Raw genomic sequence first — 23900 nt, forward strand, 5'->3', positions numbered from 1 at the left:
TTAAAAATTGGAAGAGCCAAGACTAAAGTCAATTTTCAGAATTCCTGATTTTATTCTTTCTAATACTTTGAGTTGAAGTGTAGAGGCATCTTTTCCAACTCTGAAGAAGAAAATTCATGTTTTTATAAAGGTTATTGTAATTCCTGAACTACTATTAATCATAGAATTGAGACAAGAAGATAGCTATTCTACTCAATTAAAGCTGTGCCTGAAACAACAGGTTAAACCAGTAGAATTTTAACCAACTGACTAGTTTGGGGATGAACTAAGACAAAAAAACTATGGGTTTGTATGCGTGTGTGTGCACTCATGCATGTGCACGTATGCGTGTGCATTAAGTGTGACAGGAATTTGTTTAGCTGCAAATGACAGAGGAACTAATATGGATTTAAACAAGATAGGAATTCATTTGTCTCACAAAAAAGAAATCCAGATATAGGCAGTCCAAGCTGGTGTTGCAGTTCTACAATTTCAGGACTGTTCCAGATTCCTTTTCTCTCTCCATCACCCTGTCCTTAGTGTTTTGACATTCATCCTTATGCTTGCAGCCTCCTGTTACAAGATTGTAACACCAAATTGACATATCATATCTTCATTTCAGGCAGAATAAAGGTAGCAAATACTTTCCCTAAAATGTCAGCATACACCTCATTGGCTAGAATAATGTTACATGGCCACCCCTAGCTGCGAGAAAGTCCAGAAAAGAAATCACTTTTATTTGAGCATGCTGTTATGTGAAATTAAATCAGGGTGCTCTTAGCAAGACAAAAGGTAAAAATGAATAGCAGTATATGCCATTCTAACTTGTTTTGATGACTTCAGCAGCCTTAGAATACACAAGTTAACTTAGACTCAATAAAAATTTAAATAGGTACATCATGCATAGGATACTTCTGATGTACAATTTACTCTTTTGTTGTTGTTGTTGTCGTTTTTCTTGGTTTCGCGTAGAAAACAAATGTAAAATTGGGGTTAAGATTTAGAAGAGTTACCAATATATCCAGGTCAGACCATTAGAATTTCACATGTGGCAGTTCTATAGAACTAGTTTATCAAGCACAACTCTTTAATTAGCATTAGAACTAATTAGAACTCTTTAATTAGCATTTCCTTTGAAAATATCTAAAGAGGACATCCAAAACCAACTTGAAAACACACACAGCCACCTCAATTTTTACTGTTACTAACATTTTCTTCTAATTTAGGTCACTCCTCTATAGAAGTTGGTCAAATCAAGATACAGCTAAATGTGGTTTCACCAACAAATGCAAACTTCTGTGAATACAATATTTAAAAAGAAACAATAAAAAATGAAGAAGTTACTTAGCCTTTCAGGCTTTTATCAGCGCTCTTTTAAACCTGCTCTCACTACTTTGGTGAACATTTGTTTGCATGTATTCTGAAGAATGAGGTTAAGATACAATGAGGCTCATTAATTAGTGTGCCACTAATTTGGACTTGCTCTTTTACAGCTGAGATGCAGCTCTAAAATTTACTGTCCAATATGGTGGCCACTAGTCACATGTGGCTGTTCAAATACAACTTACATAAATGAACTAAAATTAAAAATTCAATTCCTCTGACAATAGATACATTTCAAGTGCCCAAAAACTACATGAGGCTATTGGCTACCATATTGGACAGTGCAGATACAGACCATTTCCCCTATTATGGGAAGTTCTACTGATAGCACTGCTCTAGAAGATTAAGATTTTAAAGAAGCAATATCAAGACCAAATCATCTGAATGAGTATAGTCCATCACTCAGAGCATTTTTATAATTTATCTTTGGAAAAGATTTCAGAGCCCCTGTACAAACCACTTCAATAAAACATCTTGTTTCGTTTCTTCTGAGTTTGCTGAGTGCCTCCTCAACAGCATACTCCAGGTAGTGTGCTACATGTGGGGACTCAAGGACTAATTAGACATAGTCTTTCCCCTCTGTGCCATGACTTATTTGGGGAACAAAAAACTAAGATGTAATGTAATAGGTCTATAAAGGTAAGTATGTACAACATGATCTGGGAACGGAAAGAAAGGAATGATTCTATTTAGGACATTAAGAAAATGCCTTCTTTTGCAAAGAATTCAGCTGAATGCCACACTAGGGGGAAAATTTTTAGCATAAAGGCTTTGAAAGACTACTACAGTATTTTAAAACAAAGGGCTGGCAAGAAATTACATATTCTGAATAGGTCATTCTGGCGGCCATTAGAGCAGGTAAGAAACTGAAGGCAAGACCAGTTGCCAGGCTACGGAAATAATTGGGGTTAGAGATGTTAAGGGCCTTGATTAGGTCAATGGCAATGGGAATCCAGAGAGAGAACAGATTCAAGAGAAGTCTGATTAAAAATACAAAGCTTGATCATCATCTACTTTATTCTTCAGTCTTGGCTGTGTATAGCATTGTGCAATTTTAAAAAATCATTCTCTAAAGATAAAGATTTATCACATCACTGGGGTTATTCTAAAGAATTAGTTGCAAAGATTCAAAAGTGTTTCAGTACGTTCAATTTTTATAAAAACAAAGGAAGAAACACTGTGGGGTGTGTGTGTGTGTAGATAGATACAAGAGATTCTGTAAAGATACACAGCAAGGTCTTAGTGACTATCGAAACTTAGTTTAAATGATTCTGCTAATCTGTATTTTCTGTTTTTCTGTAATGACAAAGCATCTTTTTTTTTTTAAACAAAGAAAAGGTTTTTTTGTTTTGTTTTGTTTCGTTGTGAGATGTGTCACCCAGGCTGGAGTGCAGTGGCACGATTTCAGCTCACTGCAACCTCTGCCTCCCGAGTTGAAGCAATTCTCCTGCCTCAGCCTCCCGAGTAGCTGGGATTACAGGTGCCCACCACCACACCTGGCTAAATTTATTTATTTATTTATTTATTTATTTATTTATTTATTTATTTATTTATTTTTGGTATTTTTAGTAGGGACAGGGTTTCACCATGTTGGCCAGGCTGGTTTCAAACTCCTGACCTCAAGTGAGCCACCTGCCTTGGCCTCCCAAAGTCTTAGGATTACAGGCATGAGCCACCACACCCAGCCAAGTTATTTTTTAAATAGTAATTTTAAAAATCCACAACCATTATACCTAAGAAAGAGTTCTAAAAATCTTTTTAACAAGGTCAACATGGCTAAAATAATTTCCCCAAGTTTACTTTAGGACAACATTCAGTTGAAATATTAAAATAAGTTGCACTATTTCATAGCTATACCTTCTAAAATTAAGGTATTAGTGGTATAAACCATTCTAAAATGACCTGTGCACCTATTTTGCTATTGTTCACTACATTAGTATTACTATACATAATTAAAATAGAAGTTATCTATAATTTCGACCTTCCATTACCTTGTAATTTTGTCTTTCTTTTTCTTCCAGGGAAATAATGAGTTCTCTAACCCTCACTCCCACCCTGCCAAACCCTATTCCCCATAGGTATAATTAATGAGCTCAGGTCTTCCATCTGGACTTAGAAACATGAAATGCTTCTTCTGCCTCGCTCCTAGTTTTTCCAAAGCGAATGAGTTTATACTTGGATACCCTCACTGTTGCACGTCTGACACTTGGCATAGCTAAAAAGCATCTTCTCCACACCTCTGTACAGAATGGCCAGAGCTCTCTGTATGTCCTGCTTTACAACACTCTCTTCTCCCACCTGGGTCTCCAGAAGCACACTGATGGCAGTTGGGAATGTGTCTCTCAAGCACACCACGAGTTCCCCCAGAGCTATAATTCTACAGCTTTCCAGCAGGCCCCATTCCCATTCTCCAGCCCCCTCCTGGACTATGTATGAGGGAGGGATGAGGTGGTGGATTGAGGACATTTATTTAATAAGAAGTCAAAGGAAACATGAACAAATTATCATTTTTTACATGGAACTCACAAGCTAATTAATCAGAGAATTTGTTAAGAAATGGGTTATCTACTCTGGTGCAGTAGCAGAAATTAACATTTTTGACTTGCCTTGTTTTGCCAATATTTAAGCAGTTTGTTCTATTGAATGTGACTACATGTACAGACACACTTTTATTTAGTCTCACACATGAAAAAAGAAAGCAGAAGGCCTGTTATCCAAGTGGTTTCTCATCCAAACATTTTTATAGCAAATTACTAAATCTAGTTGAAAACAATAGGAAAGAGGATACTTTTCCCTCTAGTATTTGTTCTATCAACCTAGACTTAGCACAGAATATCTGAAATTGCAGCTAAAATAAAGGCTTCATTTTATAAAATAACATTTGAGTTGTTCCTGTATCCATGATCAGCATACAGACCTGCTAAAAGCAGAAAATAATGTTATGTTCCTCTCTATGGGATGAGTATTTCAGTAGTTTTAAGGAAAGAAAATCCTGAAAAAGAATTTAGAAAAATATTAATAGAAAGGAGGAGGATGCTTCAAAGTAATGCCGACATACATCATTTTCCCTCCAAGGCTATTAGCACTGAAATACTTTTTGCTGACTATATGGCACTTATTCTATACCTTTTGTTAATTAACAAGTAAATAGGTGGCAACAGCAACTATATTAAAGTAGAAAGCCTTTCTATAAATGAAAGTCAGAATTCAAAATTTAGAAGGCAACATTGTTTGCTTCAGATCTACTTGTTACAAATTGTGGGTTTGAAAACATGCAACCTTATCTCATGATGCACCATAACTAGTATTTAGTTATACTAATAACTCCAAATTATGTAAACAATAGATACCCCGAAATCATATTTGGGTTTGTTTCAGAGATATTTTTGGTTCTTATATTTGGACTTAGGTACTCTTGATCTAAAAATTCACTCAACCTCCAATAAAATAATGAAGGCACAGATAAAAAATCTGATAGAGCTGAATATCGAAATTCCTTGCTTTTAACAGGCGATACAGCGCATTCTTACTCTCTTTTCTCCTAGATCAGCAGGTGTCCCCGCCGCTCCAGTAGACTGAGAAAAAGGAAAAGGAGGGGGCGACAAGAAAGGAAAGGAAATTGTCTAGGTGTCCTGGTGGTGGAGGTGGGGGGTATTTTAATTTCATAATTAAAAGCTCTCTTCTTCGGCTTTCAAGTTTTTACTCCTATTTGTAATGATTTGATTGAGGACTGTGCAGCAGAGTTTGGGTATGTACATCTCTAACATAAACGGAAAGGAACAAGGAAGGGACGGATAGGAGACAGCAAAGGGTTGCGGGGAGAGAGCAAAACGTAGGCGCGTGGGGACGGGAAGGGAGAGGCGGATTTGGCAGTCAAAGAGGGACGAGAGGAACAGGAATGGAAAGTGTGGACTGGCCGTCCAATCCTATGGGGGAAGGGGAAAGGGGGGGCCCACCACGTCGCACTCCTCCCCACCTCCAGGCTTTTCCTGTGTAGGCTGAAGCCATCCAGGCGTGTACAAAAGAGTCGGTTGCTGAGCCAGGAAGGCTGTCTCCCCGGGCTGCGCAAGCTCCGGGCCGCCTCTCCTGGGCTCAGGAGGGCGGGCAAGGATAAGAAGGCAGAAGCCCCAAGGCGGACAGCTTTGTGGGCGCCTGGAAGAAGGCGAAAGGCCACCAGCCCAGACCCCGAGGGCGCTTGCCCGCGGGACTCGGCGCCGCAGGCCAGGGCCGTCCGTGAAGGGTAGTCTGTGCCTACGTCCTGCCCTACTGGTACCACTCGGACACTCTATCCCCGTCCGACCCTTTGCAGGGCTCGACTTGTCTCCCCGACTGCCCGTCCTTAGTCCAGGTTCTCCTGCGCGGCCCGGGTGCGGGGTCTCCTCGTCATCTCGGGCGACACTCTGCAAACAATATGGCGGTCGGGCGTCGACCGTGGCGCCTTCTCTCCGGGCCCTCGGGGTTGACGAGGGGGACTACCGCCGGCGCTCCCGACCCGCGACGCGCGAGCCCCGGGCGGGCGGGGGAGGCGAGAGCAAGAAACCTGTGGGACCTGTGGGGAGCCGCGTCCGCGGGGCTGGCGCGCGCGGGGGCGGCCTCGGGCTCGCGCGCAAAGGCGCGGGCGCGGGCGGGGGCGGAGTGGCGGCGGCAGCGGCGGCTAGAAGCGGCAGCCCAGAGCCCTCTCGCGGCCGCGGCGGCAGCAGCAGCGCCAGCCCCAGCAACACTGAGGCCGCCGCCGCCGCCTGGCGCTCCCGCCGCCCGGCCCGACATGAGTGAGGCGGTTCGGGTACCCTCGCCCGCCACTCCGCTGGTGGTGGCGGCGCCCGCGCCTGAGGAGAGGAAAGGGAAGGAGTCAGAGCGCGAGAAGCTGCCGCCCATCGTATCGGCGGGCGCCGGCGCGACCGCGGTAGGTGGTGGGCCGGGGCCGTCTGGCGCCCCGGACGGCGGGAGTTGGGAGGGACGGCGGCCGGGCGAGGGCCGTCAGGAGGCCTGCGTTTACCCTGGGCACGCCCTGGCACTCCAGGGAGACGCACTCAGGCCGCCCTTCCTTGGGCAGAAATAAAAGAGTTGTGCCTCGTGGACAGCCCCGAACACTTCGCGAGGTACACCTACCACCCTCGGGAAATGTTGGGGGTGGTCGGTTCCGCTGGATGTTTGGGTTATTTTCTGGGGCTTGGGCCCCCACTTTCTCTAAGAGAATGACCTGCATCTTGAGTCGGCATGATCTGTTGGATGAGCATAGGTGTCAGCAGGCGGGAGTGGGTTTTCCACGGAGGTGCCTGCCTGCCTGCCTGCCTTGGAGGCGCGCAGATTTTTGTCCTTTTCTTCGCTTTTCTTTCCCTTCCCCCTTCAGATTAAACAGGCTCTGCGGCGAGTTTCCACTTAATTGTGACCTTTCCGTTGCTGTCAGTGTAGTGGGAGGTAGATGCATCAGTGATGGTTTTATTTTTCATATGGTACAGACATGTGACTCAGGTGGGGGGAGGCTTTTTGAACCTTTTATTTAAACCCAAGTTATCTAAGCTTGACAGGGATGATTTCCCAGCTGTATCTTCGTAAGGGTTATTTGGAGAGCGCTGTCAGGCTTCAAACTACATATTGCCAGATGATGTCATGGGACAGCCCCCTCCCCCTCTTTCCCTATTTTTACTGGTGGTTGTGACTGGTTAATTTGAAGCACAATTTAAAAAAAAACCTCGGATTTTGCAATTTTTTATTTTGACATAATATTTAAGTACTTTTTGAAAGTTTGCTTTGATATATTTAAAGATCATGACTTGTCATGCAGCTGTGTGTGACAAAATAGTAAAAGTTTAGTGAACATTATACATTTTCTTTATTCCTACTTGCGGTTCATTTCTTAAAACCTCCCTCTTAAATGACTAAGAACTTACTAAAATAGCTCACTCTTCGTTAAGTACTGTATTGGTGTTAGGAATAATTTTCGGATTCGGTAGGTTTTTCAAAAATGTCTGAGGGCCCTGATAACTGGAAATTGTTAAAACAAGCTCTTTAAATCAATGCAGCAAATTGCGAACAGTAATGATACACGTTTAAAAGCGTAGCTACAATTGATTGGTAGATTGGAGCTGGGGTTAGGGATTACCCTAGAAAATGCTTTGAAGGAATTTGTCACCCAGCTGCTTGGAGACCTGGTTCCTGCTGCTGGTACCCTAGGTTTTCAGATTTTATATAGGAAGTCTTTAACTCACAGAATTCCAGCAGTTCATTTCTAAGTTGGTTGTTTAAAACAGTAAATGTATGTACTTATAGAAACAGTTAAATGAGTGGGTTTAGGTCCTCAAGCAAACGCTCTCCCAAAAACCTATTCATCTCATAACTGAAAAATTGCCGTTTTGGAATTTGCAAGTGTGGATACAAGTCTACAGTCTGCTTTGGGATTTCAAGTTTTTCAGATTTTAGAAAGGTAATTCGGTACATATATCATATATTATTTAATACCCACAGTAAGGTCCTAGCCAGTTCTCTCTAATCAACCATCTTAATAACTGTAATGAAATTATGTGTTCATGCTAAAGGGAAAAAGTCAGTAGCGTCATGTCATTTCAGATTAGGTGCATGTTTTTGCCACCAAATGAGTTGCAAAGACACTTCAGTTTCAAGAATTTATAGGACTTTGAAATTGTAAATAGAGGATTATGGACTTGTACTACTAGACAAAGAGAAGAATATATTCAAGAAAAAAATTTAAATCTTGAATTAAACTTTGAAAAGGTATGAGTTGGAATAGAAGAGGATAAGGATAAATATACAAAACTTGAGGGTTTTTTTTTTTTCTTTTTGAGACGGAGTCTTGCTCTGTCGCCAGGCTGAAGTGCAGTAGCCTGATCTCGGCTCACTGCAATCTCTGCCTCTCGTGTTCAAGCCATTCTCCTGCCTCAGCCTTGCTTGTGCCTTATAAAGTCTTTCAGAGTCAGTACCATTGATTATTTATTTTTTAAAAAAAAAAACAATTTATGACAGGATCTGTGGCAGAATGTGTGTGTGTGTGTGTGTGTGTGTGTATTTGTCAAAGAGAGACTTCAAAGCTAGAATTCAGAGCTAATAGCAGTGAAAAGCTTAAGTGTAGAAAATCTATGCTTGGTCCTTAGTCCATCCAAAGGATAAGAAATCCAGGAGAACTGGGGTGGTGATTGACTTTTACAGCAGCTAGGAAGGCCTTGGTATGTGTGGGGAGGGGGAGGAGGTCTTGATGTGTGAGGTAGGTGGGCAGGGAAATACAGCTTGTGGCCTCTTGAGTTGTTTTTCAGCCTCCTGTAGATTAAATAGAGCTCCTAGAGGTTTGCTTAGGAACCTAATTGTCATCAATAACTTTTTCTTTGAGACATTCCAGTGATTGTTCCTTTTTGCCCCAGCCTAATGGTTCTGCCTGTCTAGTTTGTGTCTATGACTCAATTCGTGACCCTACAATAGTGGCTTTTTCAGAAAATCATTGTACCACATTTATAAATGAATATATATGAATAAAATAATATAAATATTATCAATAAGTAGAAGGTCAGTTTACAGTGACCCTAAATAAGGTTGAAGAGTTAGGCTGTATCCTTTATGTTTACAGAAAGGTACAGGGGTGGGAGAAAGAATGCTGGAAAGGGCAGCCCTGAAGTGTTTTATCCTAAGACCATCTAAACGTGAAGGAAGTCCATTCCAGCTAGTGAGGAGGTGCCTAACACAGTGGTTTCAAGCCTGACTGACCACAGAGTTACCTTGGTAGCATATTAAAGTCCTCATTCCTACATCTCACCCTAGAGCACCTGTTTTCAACCTTAGATGCACAGTAGAATTAACTGAGAAACTTTTAAAGCCATCATTATCCAGGCCCAAATGCAGTATTGTTAAATCAGAATTTCTGGGGATGTTGCTCAGGCATCTTTTTTAAATTTAATTCCCTGGGTATACCAAGATTGAAACTTGACACTCTATATACTGAATCAAAAGCTCCATGGGCAAGGTGTAGGAATCTGTATTTTTTAATTACCATCTCCCAAATCTACTTAGTTTGTGGAGCAGCGTTTGAAATGGACTTGTGACAGGTATGGATGAAGTGAACAAGAGACAGTAGAAATCAGGCGTGGTGGGGAATTGAAAGAAATGGCAGTGGCAGTGGTTCCAGTTAGAGATTCTCAAGAGGCTCAAGATGGAGCCCTCAGAGACTTTCAGTGTTTGGGTCTTGGCCTTGCTGCTGTGGAGAGGTGATGCAAATCCATGGAGTCAAACAGAATAAAGAATTTGAAGTAATGTATGGATATGAAGGGCTGATGATGTGAATATTAAATTTACTGAGGTTGATGGATTGGAGTGGAATATTATAAATTAGTTACTGATGTATTACACATGTTTAAAAAAGTGGTGAATGAGAAAGAAGAAAATGCTTAGAGGTGGGGCAGAAATAACAGTGGCAGCGAGGATGAATTTGACTGGCTACTTCTACACCTAATCAGGTGAACAGAAAAGAGAGGTTCTACATGGGGTAGAACCCTCTGGATAGGGTACCAGTACATTGGGTTCAAGAAAGAGCTAGATTTGACTTAGGTCAGAGAGGTGAAGAGAAATGGGAGGAATTTAGTTGAGAATTTTAAAGGGATGTTAGCCTATAATGGAAGACAAGGGGAAGAGTTTGAGGGTGAGCATAAGGTGTGTCGAGAGAATTTGATGGAAAGTTTAGTAACAAGAATGAGAAGTTGGCTTATCAGTTGTGTATAAATGGGGTTGATGGAGTCCCTGGGACAAAATGTAACTACCAATTATTGAACATCTGTTATGTTTAGCTTTGTGCTAGGTGCTACAAAAAATGCAAAAAGACAAGGTTTTAAAAAATGGTCTCTGCCTCAGGGTATGCAGGGTTAACACATGAAAAGCAAAGCAATATGTAAAAACCACAATGAGCCATAGAAACAATTTGTACTATCAGAGATGAGAGAAAGGAGATCACTGTGTGCAGAACTGTGAAGAAAGGCCTTGAAGTAAAGGTAATTATTTAAGCTGGCTGGCCATTGAAAAATGATAGGATTTGGATAGGCAGAAGAAAGTGGGCAAAGTAATCCAGTGACGAAAACAGCATGAGCAAGGCTTAAAAGGAAAAATTAGTGAGTAATAAAGCGAGCCCAGTGGAAGCATGCTGGGAACTTGTGGGAGGTGAGAAAGATTGCATGGGGGCTGGAGCCAGATCACTAGGCAGAAAAGCTTAGACAGTTTTTTTTTCCCCCTGCGGTTAGTGGGAAGCTATTGCAATTTCTGAAACAGAGGAACAACATAATGAAATCAGTGGTAGTGTATAGTTAAACTAGAGGAGGGAGAAAGTGAAGAAAAGAGCTTTGTAGCTCATGCCTGAGGCAATGAGTGCATCCACTAAGGTGGTGGCCACAGGACAGAGTGTAAGGGATGGGAGCATACACACCATGTGGGACCTAACTAGACAGCAGAAATGAAAGAGAAGAAAGATTAATAAAGGAAAAGGACTCAGGTTTCCAGATGAGGTCAATAGCATTCCAAATTAGAGAAAGTGTGTGTGTGTGTGTGTGTGTGTGTGTGTGTGTGTGTACTTAACAACAATATGCCCAGCTAGGTATTTGGAACAATCTTGTATGAAAAATGTTGTGCTCTTTGTTCATTATGTTCTAAACAAGAGGTGAGATGGGAAAGAATGAATGCTATGGTGATGATGTTTAAGTAATTGAATAAACTACAGATATTACAAATATACAAAATAAGTGTTTATAACAATAATAGCTACTTATTGAGTGCCTACTCTGTGCTAAGCATTTGCCATGTATTCTTTTATTTAGTTAAATAATGCAACCAAAAGCAATCACAACAACCCTGTGAGGAAGATATTTTTCCACTTCACAGAAAAAGAATCTGAGAGTCAGGTTATGTGTACCTTGCTAAGGAGTAAAATGGCTAGTCAGGGACAGTGGTTGCTTTATAACAGAGATGTTTCCGACTCATGTTCTTTGCCCAATTCTGAACACTCGACATTTGCGGTCATAGGTAATAGGGACCATGTGGTACAAAGAAGCTGCACCTATGGCAGTATTTCTAGTTTGAAAAAGAGCATGTTGTCCAGTAACAAATTTGTTCAGATATTTGTTACTAGAGATAGAACAATCATGGGAAAGATATGTTCTAGGATATCTATTTGCTTTTTTATGGTATGAATAGATCATTAAATTATATGTAAAATCAATCTGATTGAAGCAAAATAGTCCAAGAGACTTAATACATAAAAAGGGAGGGCTATGGCTTTATAAATACATACCCAGCATGTCTCTAAGTTTGAGTGGGTTGTAAAGTCTCTTTGTCAACTTTTTTTTTAAACCACAAAGCCGTAAAGTCTCTTTGTCAACTTTTTTTTTTAAACCACAAAGCCATAATGTAGTGCTTGCTTATTTTCCCCTTCATGAATAACCCATTAGGACACAAATAATTTATAACTATATTTAACAATTGGAGAAAAGCGGTCATTATAAATTGTGAGCCAGAGAACCTCCAAAAAAGTCAAGTACGATTCTGCTTTGCTGTTTATAACTCTCCATCTATAAAATGGCAAAAATAATAATTGAACCTACTGCATAAGGTAGAAATGAAGTCTAAATTAACACACATAAAACATTTAGAAAAAAACCTTGTACAAAGCACTCAGTGTTAGATGAGATTATTAAAGTCGTGTGTCACATAACAATGTTCTAGTCAATGACAGATCACATAATCTGAAGGCAGTCTAATGCCTTTTCTGTTTAGATATGTTTAGATGCATACTTAGTGTTACAGTTGTCTACAGTATTCAGCATGGTAACATGCTCTATAGGTGTGTGTATCATGTGAGCAATAGGCTATATCATATAACCTAGGTGTGTAGTAAGCTGTACTATCTAGATTTGTATAAGTACACTCTGTGATGTTTGCACAGCTACAAAGTTGCCTAATGAAGCATTTCTCAGAAAATATCCTCATTGTTAAGTGACACATGATTGTGTTTATAAAGCAACATCTGTAGCTGAAAAGCTGTTTGTAAGCCAGCCAGCCCTTTCTCCTCTACTCCTGTCCTGTGGATTTGGTACTTTCCTTAACAGCCTTCTATATCAAGCCTCAGGCCCTGTATGTATTGCCTTTGCCTTTATAAACCTCCACCGTCCCCCTCACCTCCGAGTTATTATCCTTCCCACCACCCCACCACTCCCCAGAATTAAGGGATGTCATGCACTCTCTGAACTCTTTGGGGCTGGTATATGTCTCAGTTCATATTAATTTCTTTTGAAAGGGAAAAGAAAGAGCCTTCAAAAGGTGTACAGATACTATTGCCAGAGTAGCAACTTCTTTTGGCATAGTGTTTGGAAATTAACTATTTTTAGTTAAAGTTGAAGAAGAGTAGAGAAAGATCAACAGAAGATGAATGAGGAAGTAGGTGGAGATGAGAAAGCTCTGAGAAGCTTTGATTTCCCTATTTTTTCTCCTTTTTTTATAGTTTTGTAGTTAACTCTGAGTGAAGAATCCCTTCTTGAGTGGTAAAATGTTATACTGGTGAGCTATATGAATAACTACTTACTCTTAAGTTGATATTTGTAACTTGGAGGATATCTGTGTGACATTCTAGTGAGCCATCAAAAAACATTTTTTGAAATAATGAAATGAATGTGCCCTTTTTTTTTGCTTTAGAGACTGCATTTATTCATTTACTTTTTTCTTTTTTTTTATTACACTTTAAGTTTTAGGGTACATGTGCACAACGTGCAGTTCTGTTACATATGTATACATGTGCCATGTTGGTGTGCTGCACCCTTTAACTCATCATTTAATATTAGGTATACCTCCTAATGCTATCCCTCCCCGCCCCCCCACAACAGGCCCGGGTGTGTGATGTTCCCTTTCCTGTGTCCATGTGTTCTCATTGTTCAGTTCCCACCTACGAGTGAGAACATGCGGTGTTTGGTTTTTTGTCCTTGTGATAGTTTGCTGAGAATGATGGTTTCCAGCTTCATCCATGTCCCTACAAAGGACATGAACTCATCATTTTTTATGGCTGCATAGTATTCCATGGTGTATATGTGCCACATTTTCTTAATCCAGTCTATCATTGTTGGACATTTGGGTTGGTTCCAAGTCTTTGCTATTGTGAATAGTGCCGCAATAAACATACGTGTGCATGTGTCTTTATAGCAGCATGTTTTATAATCCTTTGGGTATATACCCAGTAATGGGATGGCTGGGTCAAATGGCATTTCTAGTTCTAGATCCCTGAGGAATCACCACACTGACTTCCACAATGGTTGAACTAGTTTACAGTCCCACCAACAGTGTAAAAGTGTTCCTATTTCTCCACATCCTCTCCAGCACCTGTTGTTTCCTGACTTTTTAATGATCGCCAATGAATGTGCCTTTTAAAAATAGAAATTATTGAGATTTTACCAATTCAGCTGAATTGAAAAAGTCAGTCTGAAATTTGAGTCTGCTTAATGTATTTCAAATTAACTTGGTTTTGTTCTAGATGTTTTTGTTAAAAAAAAAGAACAAGACTCTTAATTGATTGAGAATTTTGACTGGATCAAATTGCATATTTTAAAAGTAGTATTTTACTGTATAACCATAATGTATTCATGTATTTTTATCTTTTCCTATATTATAAAATAAATGAATAAAATCTCTAATGCCACCTTGCCTTCCTAGTGATAAATGAACTGAAATTTCTGAGCTTCAGGACTAATGTTTGTAGGGCTAATTTTCAGTCATCTATATGATCAATTGCGTTGATTTTTTTTTGTGACAAAATTTTGTTTCAGAATCCACATCCTTATTTCCTAGTCTCCATTTAAAGATATGATTTATATAACTTAAACCAATTCCACTTGGGCTGGTGCTATTTAGGTTGGGAGGGAAGTTTGTACCTTGAAAGTAGCTGACTTTTCATATCTTAGTAGAAGGATGTAGAACAAAGTCAGCATTTCATGATTTTGTAACCCACCATCCTAATAGGGAACTGTGAAAAAAAACCATACAAAAAGAGAAACAAAATATCTTTACCCAGGATCAAGGCCTAAAATAGTCTCTTTGTAGACTGTAAATTATATCGTTGGCTCCAGGATGGCTCTGATTGGTAGTTTAGGTCAGTTTATTAAAAATTGGTAAAGTAGGGTATCTTAAATGTTTTCTATTTTAACTTGAAACCTATAAATATATGTTTATTTATCAGTCTTTTGTCATAATAACCTTTGCTCAGTATCTCAGGAAGCTACTCATTCTTTTGAAAAAGTAGTTTTTATATGCATCACAGATTCTTGGACTCATTGAGACTAAAGGGTGAATTTTATAGACATAGACGTTCAATTTAAAATATTTTAATTCAGAAACTCTAAGATAGTGAGATACGGCTTTTAAAGCATTTCGTGATGGAACAGCCAGCACTTACTCCTTTTTTCAAGGATTGGGTTAGAATGTGAAGAAAAATGTTGATCTTGTAAGGCAACTTTTGGAGTATAGAGGATGATCAAAGTAAATTTTACCAGAATTTTGAATATAGTACCACTTGTTAGTCAATTCAGAAGCGATGATGGAAAACCATGGTTGTTATTCTTATTGGCATTGGTAGAAAAATATGACGAAGAAATTGGAAATTTAAGATTCAGTCTGTTCCTCAATAGAGGTTGAAAGTAGGAACTCATGTATTCAAATAAAATTTAAAATAAGGTTGAAAATATTTAACTATATGTTAATAGCAGAACAGGTACTCTAAGTGTTTGTCTGTTTAAATATCTTGAGATTATTTTATATTATAATCTTACATATAATCTATGTGATTATATCATCAAAAAGACCATTGAAGCCCACATTAGGTACTTGTGAAATAAGATTTTTGGTTAGTTATTGTAATTACTACGTTTTTCTGCTGTTTGCAACGTTTATTGAATTCGAGTTTAATAAATGTATGGTCAGCCTCTGCCTAGAGAGTCAGGTCTATTATTTATTAGGTTGAAATAAATACATATCTATTATTTAAAGGTTGAAATATTTTGAGTATTTCTTTCCCTCAAAGAATTCTTAGTGTTTTTCCCTGTGTTCTCTATTTGTACTTATCTTCAATCTGGAACAGCTGGTTGAGTATCCCACTACTATTCCTCAACACCCCCAGCCCACTGTTTGTAGGCTGGCCACATTCCAGGCCATCATCTTTAGTGTTCTCCTGTAGGACTCATAGATAACGTATACAAAACTCAGTAATAGCTGTGGTCCAAATTTCAGAAGGTTTGTAAAGTAATGTTCTTTAACGTTTAATTTAGTCTGGAGTTTGGTGTCGTATTAAATACCCAGTAACTTCTTGATTTGATTCTCTAATATTAATCATTTTGCCATTGCACAAAATGATGCCCGTTTTTTTTCTCATGAAAGTCTTAGGTTGTAAGATTTCTCTTGTATGAGCTGATGTGGGGCAACCAGTGTTTTGAGGATTGACTTTTATTATTCTATCAATGTGTGAAAATGTCTGATTAATTTCATGTCATCTCAAGTATAACGTGTCAAGAGCACAATTATTTTACAAACAAGAGACTTATTAGACCAAGGAATTTTTTTCTATGTTGTTTAAGCTTTTATGATTACAAAAAAAAAAAAAAAGAAAATCAGGCTGGGTGCAGTGGCTCACATTTGTAATCCCAGCACTTTGGGAGGCCGAGGCAGGTAGATCATGAGGTCAGGAATTCAAGACCAGCCTGATCAACATGGTGAAACCCCATCTCTACTAAGAATACAAAAAAAAAAAAAGCTGGGCATGGTGGCATGTGCCTATAATCCCAGCTACTCAGGAGGCTGAGGCAGGAGAATCAGTAGAACCAGGAGGCAGAGGTTGCAGTGAGCCGAGATCGTGCCACTGCACTCCAGCCTGGGCGACAGAGCAAGACTATATCTCAAAAGAAAAAAAAAAAAAGAAAAAAAGAAAATCAGTCTACTATGCCTCCTTTTGGCAAAAGAGAATTTATTGGAATGAGGCACATAGATTGGAAGCAGAAAGCAAAGGAACAGAGACTGGCTGTTTTTTGTGCCTCTGCTATTCTCTTTTAGCTAGTCAGTCTTTTCTATATTCCCCTGTCTAAAATCTGGAAAGACTTCTGATTGACATACTAGGAAGCATCAATGTCCATCATGCCAAGCCAGCTAATACATGGCTACCCTAATTGCAGATGGGTTGCCCCTTAGTTGAGTGCCTACCTCAGCTCTAGTCCACAGCCATTCCTGCACAAAGAATAACAGCAATGCTATGGGGACCATGAGTGGGGCAATTTAAATATAAGGGAACATTAGATGGCAGCCATGGTAATGTGCATAGTAGATCTTCCCTCAAACCTTTGCATTCTTCCCCCCCTCAGGCTTTTTTCCCCTTCAGTAAAGCTTCTGAGTCATCCTTGCTCATTGCTTTCATTTTCTAACTTCCCATTCATTTGTCAATTTATTTTGTATAGTCCGTGCCACCACCATTACCCTAAATCTGTTACCTCAGCTGTCCTCAAGATTCATAGTTGCCCATTTCCGTTAGGCACATTTTAGACCTAACCACTCTTCATTATTTAACATTATTGACCTTTTTTTTTTCTTGAAACTTTATCCTCCCATATTTTTAACACATCACTTTCTTCTGGATTTCTTTGGTCATTCATTCTTAATCTCCTTTGCCAGCTCACATCATACATGCCAATATTTCCCACAGTTCTGTCCTTATATTATCAGTTGTGTCCAATCTTTTGGCTTCCCTGGGCCACATTGGAAGAATTGTCTTGTGTCACACATAAAATACACTAACACAAACTATGGCTGATGAGCTAAAAAGAAAAAATCACAAAAAAAATTTATAATGTTTTAAGAAAGTTTATGAATTTGTGTTGGGCCGCATTCAAAGCCATCCTGGGCTGCATGCACCCTGGGGGCTGTGGGTTGGACAAGCTCGTTATAGGTTTTCTGTTGATATATTACAATAACCCTGTTATAAAAATTCATTATTTCATCATGCGAAGCATACTTTTGCCTAGTGAGCATTGGTTCCTTTAGTAGTTACTCACAAATCATGTTGATAAAACCCAGTCTAGAATTTTCTTCAAAGATGCCCTCTTCTATACAGTGAGGTGTCAAAATATGCCTATTCTTCTGAAATTTGAAGAAAGCATTTTACATTGTTTATTTCACTTACTTTATAATTTATGGGAGGGTTTGTTCATTTTCATTATGCTTCAGACTTACACCTGAAATCGCTGTTAACAATTTGGTCATTTCTTGGCCCAGGCTGTCATTCCTCTTCATTCCCTATTATTACTATCTCTATTCAAATTTCATTTCTTCCAGTAGGCCTGGTTTAGCTTCCAGTATTTCTGCCCTTTATTCTATTCCCTAGACTGCTACCATAGTGATTTTTTTCTAAAATACAGATATGATCATGTCATATCTTGCTTAGAAGTCCTCAATGATTTTTCTCTATCTCTGTTCAGGATAGAATCTATACTCTGTAGCCTGAAGGCCTCATAATATGGCCACTACCTACCTTCCCAGTCATATCTTGCTGGACCATTCTCCCTTTCTGATTCTATATTCCAACTACACTGCTCCCTAAATACTACTGTTGCTTAGTCTTAGATAACATTCATGACAGTTGTCAATGAAAAAATGCCTTCTATGTGTTAAATTATTGTAGATGTTTACAGCTAAGTTAACAAAGGTCTGTTGCTGAGGGACCATTTATTATACAAGCACGGCTAACCTTATTTTACAAATTGGTTACTTTCTTATAACTGTCAAATTTGTGTGTCCAATTTGGCATTTGTTCGCACTATTATTAAGATTTTCTGACAACAAAATATACAAGTAAGCAAACTTAGCCCCAGTCATTAATAAAATTCTTATTTAAGCATCCTAATACATATAATAAGGAATGATTTACTTTTTCAAATATGTAACCTGTTTATATTTCATTTTCCTAATCAACACACTAGTTTTGTGTACCTGAACAAACTGCTTTAATTTACCAATATTATGCAAATTACATAATTTACTGACTATTTTATGGAAAGGTATTGTGTATCACTGTCTTACCTCTCTTTTCAATTTTCTCTCTTATCTTTGAGACTGTAAATCCACTAGACATTAGAACTGATAGTTGTTGAATAACTGTTAATTGAATTCTTAATTTTTATTGTTTGGAGATCCCACAAGTGAACTAAGCAATATTCTTTGAGACTTCTTTTATTAAGAAGAGGTGAAGGAAGGGGGAAGAAAAGAAAATGTTAGTCTTTCCTAGATGGTTTAGGACATGAGAAGTTTCCCTAAAGTACACTTAGTTGTTCTGCTTATGTAATATTCTCTGGTTAGGTGAATTGCTCCTAAAGCGATTAAATTTAACTCAACATACATCTATAAAAGTAGAGATTACATCAGCCACAAAGGGTTGTTGTGAAAATAGGCTGATGTGTTCAACACACGTACTGTCACATGTTAAGCCCTTAATTAGTGACAGCTGCTATAGTGGGAGACTGTAATATAAGTGTTAAGAATACAGATTTCATGGTCATTCAAACTGGAGTTTGAATCCTGGCTTCCCATTTATCAGCTCTGTGAACATGGGCATGGAAATTCAATTTCCCCATCTATAAAATGGGGTGTAAATACATATAGGAATGTTATAATGTATTAAAGTAGGTACTGTAGTAGTAGGTGTATAACAAGTACTCAACAAATGACTTGTTTCCTAACACAGAAATATTAACCCAGACATTACTGAGCTGAAATCTGGCCAAGAATCAAGGACCAAGCAAAAACAAATTACAATAAAATCTATGAACAGGCAAAAATGTCACACCAAAAAAATGCATATGTGTTTTTACTTTACTCATGGAAGTGTCCCTCAGGTTCCCATGTAGTGTCCATTACATCTCCATTGCTTGTTAGGTCACTTTAGGTGAGTCTCAGACAGTTCCACTTTCCTTTCTGTGAAATGAAGGAGTTAACTAATTTCTAAAAGTCTATTAATTCTAGAGACTTCTTAATTCTATGTGTATAGTGTCTGAAATTTATTCTCTTTGGGCTCTTTTATATTAATTTCTTTAAAAAGTAAATTTAAAGTGTAGCACCTATGCACAAGATTCACTGTATGACAAGCTCTGTGATGAACTTCTAGTCCAGCATGAAGGGCCAACATTAGAATGATTATAATTTTAGTGGAACAATGTAAATAAATTAGAAGAATAAATAAGAATGATTGGTTTTATAGAAATGGTGAACACTGGAAAAAGCTTCAGAAACAAGTTATGATAGGCTATTCTGCAGTTACAAATTAGCCCCAAGTTTCAGTGTTTGAAAACTATTAAGGTTTATTATTGCTAATGATATAGTCTAACATTGGTCAGGATTGGCTCTGTTTCACATAGTCACTCAAGAACCCAAGCTAACAGATGCTCTAACATGTCAACTCAGCCTGGATGGTTGCCACAGTCGAGGAAAAGAGAGAAGAGCTAGAGTTTTGCCCCAGTCTTAAATGCATTGGTACTTTCTGACTCAGAAATGACAGACGTCTTTTCCACTTGTGGCCTGTTAGAATGAATCAGATGGCTCTACCTAACTGCAAGAGAATGGGGAATTTAGTGAGCATAAATGCTTCTGCTATATTATATGAGTGAATTCTGAAAAGGTAAATGGCAATCAGTCTGGTGAATTAAGAAGGAGGAGATGAAAAAGAAACTCTTCCTCTACTGTGAAAGTGAAGACGTTACCTTTAGAATTTAAAAGTGGATGTTAAAAGAAGTTAACTACTGTATTCTCTTAAGCATCTGGAAATTGGAACATAGTATAAAAAGATCCCAGAGAGCTGAGAATAAGCCCTGAGGCAGCTCTATAGTTTAATCTTGCGCTTCAAAGTATGTGTGAAGATTTTTTGTATAATTACAAAATACTGATTAATTAAATAAGTACTATGAATTTTATAGAGTTGTTATTTTGTGAAAGATGTGATAATGGATAGATTCCATGTTTTAGAAGATTGCTATTACCTGTGCCTAAGGATCCCAAGTGCTTAGCACTACTTCTAAAAAAAAATTCTGGTATGCCCAATCACAGTGCTTAGAAAAACATAAACTCTAAAGGGTTATCTTTTTACCTGAACTTGTAAAGTTGCATCAAATGAGAGGATAGCCTTCAGTGAATCAGCCTGTAAGGTATCACATGCATCCTATTTATTAAAAATAATATTTATGGAGGTCACAAAAATAGTATTATTTAAATACACAGTTAAAATTGTAGTTAACATTAATGGAGGGTGTATAATGTGCAAGGAACAATGCTAATTATGTGCATTATCTCTGTTAAATCTTACAGTAAATCTATAAGATAGGTACTGTTGTTATTCCCATTTCCAAACTTCTCAATTTGTAATTGGATAGATAATAAGGCTGTTTTATATGTGAGACAGTTAAGTCCTAGAAAAGGTAAGTCAAATTTATATACGTTTTTATCTATTATCTACTCGTCATCAAATTAAAATCTCTTATAAATGTTTGTGATTTTTGCAATAAAATAATTTATAGGTAGTAGGAAGTATACTGCAATGTTAACTTTTCTGTTTTCAGGGTTTGGACAGAGGAGCCAAAGGCCAAATTTCCACTTTCAGCAGTTTTATTTCAGCTGTTAGCCCGAAGAAAGAAGCTGCTGAAAACAGAAGTTCACCTGCACATCTTGTTTTCCCTAACATCAAGAATGGTAAATAATTTTTAAATATATTTTGGCTAAAAGTATATTTTTAAATTATTTTTAAAAGTAGACATTAATTATTCAGCATTGTTCTGATAGGTCTAGTTAATACAACAAAAAGAAGCTGTATACGTATTTACCAGAAGCAGCAAAATCTTTATTTTTAGGTGAATGTTACCTAGAGTAAGAGAATGAAATACAAAACTCGTGAATAATAAGCAAATTTGATTAAAGAGGTGGCTACATTATAAATAAAATAATATACATATATATTTTCTATATTTTATAAATGTATGTATACAAATATGTAATGGATATCCCATATTTGAGCAATAATCAATTAGAAGACTTTATGGAAAATATATGAAATACATAAAAATAAACCTAAAAGGAAATGTGTAAAATCTATTTGGAGAAAGCTATAAAACTGTTATCTAAAGACCAAAAGGTAGTTTGAATGGAAAAGCTTATAGATGTTATAACGATATAACATAGGTAAAAAGATAAATGGAAAAAATGTACATTATTTATAGTAGTGATATTGGAAGCAATCTATATTAGTTAACTAAATTATGTTAATCTATACTGCAAATACTATGCTTCTATTAAGAAGAATATGATATGTATGTAAAGTGACTGGGAGAAATGCCCACAATACATTGTAAAATGAAAAAAGTAAGTTACATCATTATAGGTAGAATATGAATCCAACGTTTTTAAGTGCAGGGAATCCTTTTGTACTTTGAGCATAGAGGGGTGCTTACCGATCTGTTAATGGTTTCCTCAGGGAGGTAGAATTGTGTATATATTATTAATGTTTCTTATGTAACTCTATATTGTTTTATCACGGGAAATGTACATTACTTAAATACTTCTAAGTGCCACTCACTTTGTAACAAGACAAAACAAACCTTCAAAGGTTTAAATGCCCCTCACACCCTAACCAAACAAAACAAACCTAGAAATATTTAAGGACATAGTTTCTGGTAAATCACCCATGTCCATAAGCTGCATGTGGTATAAATTATTCTTGCATAGAGATTTTCTGTTTGACACTCTAAGCCAGTGCTAGACCTATTCTACATTCTTATAGGTTAGTATTTTTATTGCCTCATTTTTGAACATTTACCTTTGATAACTTCTTTCTTTTATTTGCATACAAACATACACACACACACACACAAGCACACACACACCCCTCCGTCACGCCAATATTGCCCTAAGGAGGCACCTTTTAGTTCACACTCTAATTTCTATCTACTCCATTATTTCTATACTAATATCTTCATCTCTGAAGTCAGTTCGCCAACTCGTATGCCTACAAGTTTTTGATTGGCCATATTGACTCTCAATATGGTCCACTTATTTGAGCTTCCATCAATGTGTGCTTCCTTCTCATCTGTGCCAGTCTTGTGGAATCTGGACTTAACCCAACTTGAACTTGGGGTATTTTTTTTTATTATTATACTTTAAGTTTTAGGGTACATGTGCACAATGTGCAGGTTAGTTACATATGTATACATGTGCCATGCTGGTGTGCTGTACCCATTAACTCGTCATTTAGCATTAGGTGTATCTCCTAATGCTATCCCTCCCCCCTCCCCCCACCCCACAACAGTCGCCAGAGTGTGATGTTCCCCTTCCTGTGTCCATGTGTTCTCATTGTTCAATTCCCATCTATGAGTGAGAACATGCGGTGTTTGGTTTTTTGTCCTTGCGATAGTTTACTGAGAATGATGATTTCCAATTTCATCCATGTCCCTACAAAGGACATGAACTCATCATTTTTTATGGCTGCATAGTATTCCACGGTGTATATATGCCACATTTTCTTAATCCAGTCTATCATTGTTGGACATTTGGGTTGGTTCCAAGTCTTTGCTATTGTGAATAGTGCCGCAGTAAACATACGTGTGCATGTGTCTTTATAGCAGCATGATTTATAGTCCTTTGGGTATATACCCAGTAATGGGATGGCTGGGTCAAATGGTATTTCTAGTTCTAGATCCCTGAGGAATCGCCACACTGACTTCCACAATGACTGAACTAGTTTACAGTCCCACCAACAGTGTAAGAGTGTTCCTGTCTCACCACATCCTCTCCAGCACCTGTTGTTTCCTGACTTTTTAATGATTGCCATTCTAACTGGTGTGAGATGGTATCTCATTGTGGTTTTGATTTGCATTTCTCTGATGGCCAGTGATGATCATTTTTTCATGTGTTTTTTGGCAGCATAAATGTCTTCTTTTGAGAAGTGTCTGCTCATATCCTTTGCCCACTTTTTGATGGGGTTGTTTGTTTTTTTCTTGTAAATTTGTTTGAGTTCATTGTAGATTCTGGATATTAGCCCTTTGTCAGATGAGTAGGTTGCGAAAATTTTCTCCCATTTTGTAGGTTGCGAAAAATTTTTCCCATTTTGTAGGTTGCCTGTTCACTCTGATGGTAGTTTCTTTTGCTGTGCAGAAGCTCTTTAGTTTAATTAGATCCCATTTGTCAATTTTGTCTTTTGTTGCCATTGCTTTTGGTGTTTTAGACATGAAGTCCTTGCCCATGCCTATGTCCTGAATGGTAATGCCTAGGTTTTCTTCTAGGGTTTTTATGGTTTTAGGTCTAACATTTAAGTCTTTAATCCATCTCCAATTAATTTTTGTATAAGGTGTAAGGAAGGGATCCAGTTTCAGCTTTCTACATATGGCTAGCCAGTTTTCCCAGCACCATTTATTAAATAGGGAATCCTTTCCCCATTGCTTGTTTTTCTCAGGTTTGTCAAAGATCAGATAGTTGTAGATATGTGGCGTTATTTCTGAGGG

General features: G+C 38.1%; 1 protein-coding gene and 1 long non-coding RNA gene across 15 annotated transcripts in view, besides 2 other annotated features; one reads left to right on the forward strand and one right to left on the reverse strand.

Moving 5' to 3' along the window:
• Window positions 1-23900, reverse strand: part of HECTD2-AS1 (HECTD2 antisense RNA 1) — a 304499-nt gene that overhangs the window by 97350 nt on the left and 183249 nt on the right. The window lies entirely within an intron of this gene.
• The window catches only part of HECTD2 (HECT domain E3 ubiquitin protein ligase 2), a 105586-nt gene continuing 86609 nt past the window's right edge, over window positions 4924-23900 (forward strand). For 8 of the 14 annotated variants that reach the window (NR_145526.2, NR_104291.3, NM_001284274.3 and 5 more), the window contains exons 1-2: window positions 6033-6265; window positions 20970-21099. Coding sequence is in view for 6 of the 14 variants with exons in the window: in NM_001284274.3 (NP_001271203.2) it covers window positions 6128-6265; window positions 20970-21099 (268 nt within the window). In the remaining 8 variants the exon portion in view is untranslated. Of the gene's footprint in view, window positions 5111-5376; window positions 5632-6032; window positions 6266-6317; window positions 6462-20969; window positions 21100-23900 lie in introns of those variants that run through there. The other 6 variants (XM_047424658.1, NM_001348365.2, XM_047424659.1 and 3 more) reach the window with 4 other exon arrangements.
• Window positions 5440-5649: an enhancer, noted in NCBI's record as "active region_3763". NCBI's record gives its function as "activates an Ori minimal core promoter by ATAC-STARR-seq in GM12878 lymphoblastoid cells {active_cell/tissue: GM12878}" and the evidence as "EXISTENCE:reporter gene assay evidence [ECO:0000049][PMID:35858748]".
• Window positions 5800-6389: a silencer, noted in NCBI's record as "silent region_2607". NCBI's record gives its function as "represses an Ori minimal core promoter by ATAC-STARR-seq in GM12878 lymphoblastoid cells {active_cell/tissue: GM12878}" and the evidence as "EXISTENCE:reporter gene assay evidence [ECO:0000049][PMID:35858748]".

This window comes from Homo sapiens, chromosome 10 (genome assembly GCF_000001405.40).
Source record: "Homo sapiens chromosome 10, GRCh38.p14 Primary Assembly".
NCBI classification, from domain to species: Eukaryota; Metazoa; Chordata; class Mammalia; order Primates; family Hominidae; genus Homo; species Homo sapiens.